Source organism: Homo sapiens, chromosome 7 (assembly GCF_000001405.40).
Source record: "Homo sapiens chromosome 7, GRCh38.p14 Primary Assembly".
Taxonomy (NCBI): domain Eukaryota; kingdom Metazoa; phylum Chordata; class Mammalia; order Primates; family Hominidae; genus Homo; species Homo sapiens.
Genome location: NC_000007.14, coordinates 140,631,924 through 140,640,385, shown reverse-complemented (window position 1 = coordinate 140,640,385; position 8,462 = coordinate 140,631,924). Strand labels below are relative to the sequence as shown.

General features: G+C 50.0%; 1 protein-coding gene across 4 annotated transcripts in view, besides 4 other annotated features; it reads left to right on the top strand.

Moving 5' to 3' along the window:
* The window catches only part of DENND2A (DENN domain containing 2A), a 123,042-nt gene that overhangs the window by 1,075 nt on the left and 113,505 nt on the right, over positions 1-8,462 (top strand). Inside the window, exon 1 of one of the 4 annotated variants that reach the window (NM_001362678.2) lies at positions 23-146. The exons of the other annotated variants lie outside the window; for them this stretch is intronic. The gene's annotated coding sequence lies outside the window, so the exon portion shown is untranslated. Of the gene's footprint in view, positions 1-22; positions 147-8,462 lie in introns of those variants that run through there. 4 annotated transcript variants of the gene reach the window in all.
* Positions 3,577-4,183: an enhancer, noted in NCBI's record as "H3K27ac-H3K4me1 hESC enhancer chr7:140336003-140336609 (GRCh37/hg19 assembly coordinates)". NCBI's record gives its function as "activates a minimal SCP1, AML or CMV promoter by ChIP-STARR-seq in naive and primed H9 embryonic stem cells {active_cell/tissue: H9 hESC(naive and primed)}" and the evidence as "EXISTENCE:reporter gene assay evidence [ECO:0000049][PMID:30033119]".
* Positions 4,184-4,791: an enhancer, noted in NCBI's record as "H3K27ac-H3K4me1 hESC enhancer chr7:140335395-140336002 (GRCh37/hg19 assembly coordinates)". NCBI's record gives its function as "activates a minimal SCP1, AML or CMV promoter by ChIP-STARR-seq in primed H9 embryonic stem cells {active_cell/tissue: H9 hESC(primed)}" and the evidence as "EXISTENCE:reporter gene assay evidence [ECO:0000049][PMID:30033119]".
* Positions 4,792-5,399: an enhancer, noted in NCBI's record as "H3K27ac-H3K4me1 hESC enhancer chr7:140334787-140335394 (GRCh37/hg19 assembly coordinates)". NCBI's record gives its function as "activates a minimal SCP1, AML or CMV promoter by ChIP-STARR-seq in primed H9 embryonic stem cells {active_cell/tissue: H9 hESC(primed)}" and the evidence as "EXISTENCE:reporter gene assay evidence [ECO:0000049][PMID:30033119]".
* Positions 6,705-7,205: an enhancer, noted in NCBI's record as "H3K4me1 hESC enhancer chr7:140332981-140333481 (GRCh37/hg19 assembly coordinates)". NCBI's record gives its function as "activates a minimal SCP1, AML or CMV promoter by ChIP-STARR-seq in naive H9 embryonic stem cells {active_cell/tissue: H9 hESC(naive)}" and the evidence as "EXISTENCE:reporter gene assay evidence [ECO:0000049][PMID:30033119]".

Genomic DNA, 8,462 nt, shown 5'->3' with positions numbered 1-8,462 from the left:
GCGGCTCTGCAGACGGGAGTCTGAGTTCCCGCCTGGTCCCGGGACTGTGCAGAGCGCGATCCAGGCGTTCCTCCCGGGCTCGGGCTGACTCCCAGGACTGAGCCCGGACGCCGCCGTCTCGCGCCTCGGGGACCTGCAGAAAGCCGGTAGACCCCCGCCCTGCGCCGTGCTGGGTCCCTCGGGGCGCGAGTGTGAGTGTGTGTGTGTCCGCGCGCGCGCGTGTGTGTGTGTGCGCGCTTGTGTGTCTGTGTGTGAGTGTGTCTGTGCGAGTGTGTGTGAGTGTGTGCGTGCGCGTGCAAGCGCGGGGCATCGAGGCGGCTGAGCAGCCGGGCCCCCCTCACAGCGGTCAGCATTTGCAGTCTTGGGAAAGCAAGAAGGTAAAGATGATTGAATGGTCTTACTTCTTCCACTTTGTCCCCAAGGGTGGAGTTGGGAGCAGATGGAGCCCAGGGGAAGTCTGGACACAATCGTATTAGGAGGGTCACAGAGAGCTGGGTGAGACCACGGAGTAGAGCCAGACCTCAGCCGTGGAATCTTGTCATGGGGGGCCTGGGACAGGAAGCAGGAAACTGGTCAGGGCTCTCCAGGGGCGTAAATTGGGCAAGGGAAGTGCAGTGACCCTGCCTTAACCAGCTGGTGCTGACTTCCAGCTGCTGTTCAGATGCGATTCAGGAATGTGACTTCCCCAAGGTTCCAAATGACATCGGACAGTAATGGGCTGGGGGTAACAGAGTTGTAATAGGCGTGCTACAGTAATCTTGTTAGTAAACTCTTAAACCCTCTGTGGTTACCACATAAAAGAAGAGAAAGAAATCCCTTCTCCTTACATCATCAAATATCAGATACCAAAAGAGTGGAGTAGAAAGTCTGGGTGGGCAGCGTGGGACGGAGCAGAACTCCGAGAGGAAGTATGTGTGAGTGTGCGAGTGTGTGTGTGTGTGTGTGTCAGAGACGGTTTCTGAGGCCTGGTAATGAAAAGGCTGGCGGGAGGCTGGCCTCCAGTCCTTTCGTTTGTTTTTTATTTTTATTTTTTTGAGACAGAGTCTTGCTCTGTCACCCTGGCTGGAGTGCGGTAGTGCAATCTCGACCCACTGCAACCTCAGCCCCCGGAGTTCAAGCAATTCTCCTGTCTCAGCTTCCCGAGTAGCTGGGATTACAGGCGCCCACCACCACACCCAGCTAATTTTTGTATTTTTAGTAGAGACGGGGTTTCACCATGTTGGCCAGGCTGGTCTTGAACTGCTGACCCCAGGTGATCTGCCCGCCTCGGCCTCGCAAAGTGCTGGGATTACAGGCTTGAGCCACTGTGCCTGGCCTCCAGTCCTTTCATTCTGGAAGATTAATAAAATCCTGTGTCATGTATTCTATTCATACCCTTACACAGCTCTGTGTGCTAGGCATGCGTGCTAGACATCAGTGGCACAGCGAGGAATGAGACGTCCCCCTTCCTTCCAGGAACACCATCCTAGCTGGGTAGTCAAACAAAAAAGTAAAACCAGTCCTGCCCAGCCTGGCTGTGAGGGCTGCATGGCATAGAACTAGGGCAGCCCAGAGAGGAGCCGGTGCAGGGAATCCCCACAGATTAGGTGATGCTTGGGCTAAGCCCTGAAAACCGCCTCACCAAGGAAACAGCAGGGAAGGTTGTTTCAGGCTGAAAGAACAGAATGTGCAAAGTCACCAAGAGAGTCTAGGAGAGGCCAGTGAGGGGAATTCAGTGTGGCTGCGGGTTGCAGTATGTGAGTGCATGCCGGGGAGAGGTGAGGCGGGAGCTGTCAGGGCAGAGGCACAGGGAAGGAAGGATCTGCCAGAAGGAGGCAGGAGTATGCACTGAAGCAGGAGTGATGCGCTCCTTCTAGTTGTTGGGTGGGGAGGCCTGGAGGAGGAGGAGGAGACCAAGGCTTTTTGCAACACCCAGGCCAGAATTACTGAGGAGCAGGAGAAACTGAAAGGATGCCAGGATCAAGAGGCAGGACCTGGTGACTGGTTTGGGCACAGATTATGATAACTTAGACTAAAAGCAAGTATGTACACAAATGCTCAGGAGAAAACAAAGCAAAGCAAAAGGAATGTGGACCTTCTGAGTGGCCTGCATTTAGCAGATTACAACACTTGGATAACGCATTTGGCTGTAAGTTTTCTGGCAGCTTAGGGACAAACAAAAATACACTGGGTTGCATAGTTTGGGATTTTGGACAACAGAAAGCCTACAAATTAATTCTCAGAACAAAATTTTTCCTGGAATTGAACTCAGCTGGGAATTTATCATGTGGAACTTTATGTAAAGACTGAAGAGTGACATAGAAAAAAAAAATCTTCGTTGCTGGTGTTACAAAAGATGGAAAGATAAAACTCCCCGTTACTGCCTTCCTCTACCATCCTGTTATGTCTAGGGGAGTGAACTGCACTTCTGTGAGGACTGGGTGTCATCTCAGAGTATGGGGCCAGGGAAATCCTATACAAAGGAGACAATGGTACCTTAAGTGCAGGAAGAGCTGACACCCATCTCTGTGAATGTAGAGAGCAAGGCGTCCGGGGTGCTCAACCATAAAGGGAAGGAGGCTTATCATAGTATAGCCCAGAGAGGGGTGGGCTGAGACTGTGGTCTGAGAAGGGGACAGGTAGGGCATAGCACGTTGGAAGGGCCAGCATCCAGGAATCCTGACCCCCGGGGAAGCAGGCAGGGAGTTCACACAGCATTATAGGATTCCATTCATATGGGCAAGTCCACTTCCCAGGGCGGTCCTGGTCATTCTGCCTCCAGACTGGATGTAGAGCCTGCCTCTAAAGGGGTAGGAAAAGGGTGGGACTCAGCAGACCAGAGATCCTCTTCAGGAGACCAGAGAGGCCCAGGAGGGTGGAAATCTTGTTTGCTACAACACAAGGAAGTTGCAGAGGAACCAGGAGTAGGAGCTGAGAACTGGGAGGTCCTGCAGACTCAGGCACAGATCTCCTGGCCAGGCTCTTCCCTTTGGTTTCTGCAGAAGGCAGAGAACCTGCAGAATCTATGTCCATACATTGCTAATGTGCCCTTTAAACTTTAAACTATTTCTTGCCAACTATAGCTGTCGTAAATTGACATTCAGTAGGAGTGGGATTCTACCCCTCCAATCAGATTTCTTAACATTTTTAATCTTGGGGTGTGCATTAGAATATACATTTAAATGCTGGGGAGGAGAGTTTGAGACTAGCCTGGGCAACATGGCGAGACCCCATCTCTATAAAAAGTAAAAGAAATTGGCCAGGCACAGTGGCCTACGCCTGTAATCCCAACGCTTTGGGAGGCCGAGGCAGGCAGATCACTTGAGATCAGGAGTTTGAGACCAGCCTGGCCAACCCTGTCTCTACTAAAAATACAAAAATTAGCCAGGCGTGGTGGCGCATGCCTGTAGTCCCAACTACTTGGGAGGCTGAGGCAGGAGAATCACTTGAACCCAGGAGGCGGAGGTTGCATGAGCCAAGATTGCATCACTACATTCCAGCCTGGGCGACAGAGCAAGACTCCATCTCAAAAATAAATAAATAAAAGAAATTAACCACACACAGTGACACACACCTGTAGTCCCAGCTACTCGGGAGACTGAAGTGGGAGGATCACTTGAGCCTAGGGAGGTTGAGGCTGCAGGGAGCTATGATTGTGCCACTTCACTCCAGCTTAGGCGACAGTGAGGCCCTGTGTCCAAAAAAAAAAAAAAAAAAAAAAAGGCTGGGGAGGGAGATTCAAAACAACTGATACTTAGGGCTCACTGCCTGGCATCAGTATTTTTTTGAGATCCCCAGATGATTTTAAGGTACAGCTGAGGTTGAGAGTGGCTGCTCTAGCAGTCACGTATAGAGAGCCCATCACAGGGCGGGACGGAAACTCAGATTCCAAAAGATCCCAGGTGGGACACATGGGATGCCTCGCAGGTCCTCAGAAGTGGACAAGGCTGGCCCTGCTTGTTCCTGGCGTTCCGCACAGTCTCCTGGACTCCTGTATCGCTGCTTCTCCCCCGAGGTCTTTACCAGCCCTCCTCTGTTCCTTCTGGCAGTCACCTTGCTGAAGACTGGGGGTTAGGAGTTGCTTCCCTGGAGCTGCCCTGGATTGCTCTTTCTTGGAGAGATTTTAGTGAAACTGGTTTTCCATGGGTTCATTGTGCAGCGCCTTTCGGGCTGTGACCCCTCACTGCCCTCACCACTGCCTCTCTGCCCACACGCATTGTTGCTTGTTACCCCAGGAGCCTGGCCCTGAACACTGGCTATCAGCCTCATGTGTCCAAGCATAGACCCTTCTTCTGCCACCTGAATCAGACAGCCTCCACTTGTACCCCAGACTCTCTTGAAATTCCCTGTGCTGGTTACTCAGGGAAGAGTGCCAGGCCCCGCTGGCCCCTTTAATGATAGGAGGCAAACACTGCCTGGAACTAGGGCAAGTGATGAGCTAAGTTCTCTACTTTTCATATGCAAAAGACAGCGACATGCTGGGAAGCCAGAGTCAGACTCTTCTTTACCCTGGCCTTAAAATCAATGTCTGACGTGGGCAACAGTTTACTCCGTCAGCCCTCAGTTTGCCTAGAAGTTAAGTTCTTTGCCAGCTGGGCCTAGAATTGCGACTCTACCTTCAGCTTCTCTTTGGCACGTTTGTCCCTGGCTTGCAGTTCAGAGGGGCTAAAGAACAGATAAGCCTGAGACCCACTCTTCCAACTGGCTGAACTATGGGAAACCAAGTGATCGTTTTTTCCCCTGGCCTTGGGGAAGGAAGGGGTGGGTCACCCTTGCAGCAAGCTTAGGGAAGAGGTTAGCTTCCCTCAGTGGTAGGGAACCAGGAGGTCATAGGCATCCCTTCAGAAGGAAATGAAAGCAGGGATCATTGGCTGGAGAGTGGGGCCAGTACAGGGAGCCGCAACCTTGGCTGTGACCCCTCCTCCCGGGATCCCCAGGCCTTCCGTACACTGCGGATCTTATCTGAAGGGCTTATCAGACCACTTCAAGCAGAATGCCAAATGCATTTCCTTTTGTTGTTTTGTCTTCTAAAAAAGTACACTTAAAAATTGTAGGTTTACTTATAAACTTTATATGTAATCTATGAAAGTTATATTTGTCATAAAACATTTACTTATTTATTTATTTTTATTATTATTTATTTTTAGACAGCGTCTTGCTCTTTTGCCCAGGCTGGAGTGCAGTGGTGTAATGATGGCTCACTGCAGCTTCTACCTCCTGGGCTCAAGGGATCCTGCTGCCTCAGCCTCTTGAGTAGCGGGGACTATAGGTGCGCACCACCACACCTAGCTAATTTTTGTATTTTTGGTAGAGACAGAGTTTCCCCATGTTGCCCAGGCTGGTCTCAAACTCCTGGACTCAAGCAATCCACCTGCCTCGGCCTTGCAAAGTGCTGGGACTACAGGCATGAGCCACTGCACTTGGCCAAAATTTTTTTTTTTTTTTGAGACGGAGTCTTGCTCTGTCACACAGGCTGGAGTTCAGTGCCGTGATCTTGGCTCACTGAAACCTCCACCTCCTGGGTTCAAGCAATTCTCCTGCCTCAGCTTCCCAAGTAGCTGCACTGGAGTGCAGTGGTGCGATCTCAGCTCACAGCAACCTCTGCCTCTCAGCTTCAAGCAATTCTCCTGCCTCAGCCTCCCAAGTAGCTGGGACTACAGGCGCCCACCACCTCACCTGGCTAGTTTTTGTATTTTTTAGTAGAGAGGGGGTTTCACCATGTTGGCCAGGCTGGTTTGGAACTCCTGACCTCAAGTGATCCGCTGGCCTTGGCCTCCCAAAGTGCTGGAATTACAGGCATGAGCCACCACGCCTGGCCAAAAATTTTAAATTTCTAATTTTAATACGTTTTCTTTTAAAAGTTAACAAAACTCAAAATATAATACATTGCCTCTATGCATGTGCCACAGTATGAATTTTAATGTTCATATTAAATAGAAATTCATAAAATATTCGGGGCAAAACCAGTGTGGGTACAATTGGGTTAAGGAACAGAGAGGTACTATATCTTATTATTGTTTTAAAAGGGAGTATTAGAATCTCATTTTCAAAATAACCATCACTTGGCACAAATAGATTCATTAAGTATGTGGCTTTGAAATGTATTTTAGGCCGGGCGCGGTGGCTCACGCCTGTAATCCCAGCACTTCGGGAGGCCAAGGCAGGCGGATCACGAGGTCAGGAGATCAAGACGGTCCTGGCTAACACGGTGAAACCCCGTCTCTACTAAAAATACAAAAAATTAGCCGGGCGTGGTGGCGGGCACCTGTAGTCCCAACTACCCGGGAGGCTGAGGCAGGACAATGGTGTGAACCCGGTAGGTGGAGGTTGCAGTGAGCCGAGGTCGCGCCACTGCACTCCATCCTGGGTGACAGAGCGAGACTCTGTCTCGGAAAAAAAAAAAAAAAGAAATCTATTTTAATCTCGCAATTCCATTTTTAGGAATTTATCTTAGAAAAATATTAGAACAAGTGTTGGAGAGTATTTGTGGCAGCATTGTTGGTAGTAGCCGAGGTTGGAGGCTGAAGTGGGAGGATCACTTGAGCCTGGTGGGCAGAGATTGCAGTGAGTCGAGATCACACCACTGCACTCCAGCCTGGGCAACAGAGGTCTCAAAAAAATCTTTATAGATTGTCTTCCGTGTTGTCCCAAGTTCGTCTCTTGCTGTTGGTTTCGTGTTTCCATAACCTTGATGGCACATCACCATGATTCCACATGTTGTGTAGGCTGAAACCTAGGATGGGTGGACCGAGTGACACAAAAGAGCCAACCTAGCAAAGCAATTTCAAGGGCCTCTCTCTCTCCCTCACACTTCCCCACTTCTCAGCAGAGAAGATGCAATAATGGTCAAATTTGATTCAGCACTAAATTCTCTGCAAGTTTATGGTAGGTAAAATATAGGGTAACCATATACACAAAGTAGGACTGTAGAGAAAGTAAAAAGAGAGCATTAGGCCAGGCGCGGTGGCTCACACCTGTAATTCTAGCACTTTGGGCGGCCAAGGCGGGTAGATCACTTGAGGTCGGGAGTTTGAGACCAGCCTGGCCAAACCCCATCTCTATAAAAATACAAACATTAGGGCCAGGCACGGTGGCTCACGCCTGTAATCCCAGCACTTTGGGAAGCTGAGGCGGGTGGATCACGAGGTCAGGAGATGGAGACCATCCTGGCTAACATGGTGAAACCCCATCTCTACTAAAAATACAAAAAATTAGTCGGGCATGGTGGCAGGTGCCTATAGTCCCAGCTACTCAGGAGGCTGAGACAGGAGAATGGTGTGAACGCGGGAGGCGGAGCTTGCAGTGAGCCGAGATTGCGCCACTGCACTCCAGCCTGGGCGGCAGCGCAAGACTCTGTCTCAAAAAAAAAAAAAAAAAATTAGCTGGGCATGGTGGCACACGCCTATAATCCCAGCTACTCAGGAGGCTGAGGCAGGAGAATCGCTTGAACCCAGGAGGTGGAGGTTGCAGTGAGCTGAGATTGCGCCACTGGACTCCAGCCTGGGCAAAAGAGGGAGACTGTCTCAAAAAAAAAAAAAAAAAGGCCAGGCATGGTGGCTCATGCCTGTAACCCCAACACTTTGGGAGGCTGAGGTGGGCCGGATCACCTGAGGTCAGGAGTTGGAGATCCGTCTGGCCAATGAAACCCCATCTCTACTAAAAATACAAAAATTAGCCGGGTGTGGAGGCAGGCGCCTGTAGTCCCAGCTACTCAGGAGGCTGAGGCAGGTGAATCACTTGAACCCAGGAAGCAGAGGTTGCAGTGAGCCGAGATCGCGCCACTGCACTCCAGCCTGGTTGACTAGAGCTAAACTCCTTCTCAAAAAAAGAAAAAAAGCACTAAAAGTAAGTTGTTAATTGATGTACAATAGGCTTAATTAACCTGGACTGTCCCTGCAAACTGCACCTTGTGGCCACGCTGGTAAAGGCTGAGAGTTGGATATGCTCATTCATTCTCCTTGCTGGGACAGGTGTGTTGACCCAGCCAGAAGTGATTTGGTACCACCCCTCTGTCTATCTCCCACCACCTTTCTTATCCACATCTAGAGTTGAGGCTTGAGTTTAGGGAAGGGGAGGAAGCCAGGTGGGTAGTCCAAGGTTGCATATGAACTTCCTTCTTGCTCCCATTCAATGAATCAGAGGAGTCAGATTCTACTTTCACTGCCTCTCCCAGCTCACCATGGAAAAATAGTAACTGCCTGTCTTCTTCCAGCAAACTTTGAAGCATTAAAACAGGACACTTCTATAATTTTATTTGGCATTTCATGTGCCTGGTAAATATAGGCTAAACCTCCCCAGATGACCAAGCAGAGGCATTTGTAAGGGATCACACAGCAAATCACAATTCAGACTGACCCGGCATGGTCCAGGTTGAACTTGGTTGGGGGAGAAGCTATATGCTCTAGTTTGGTTACTAGATAGAAATGACAGGACAGCCTAAGACATAGAACTTGCATCTCCCGAGCTTGGAGTGAGACTAGTCT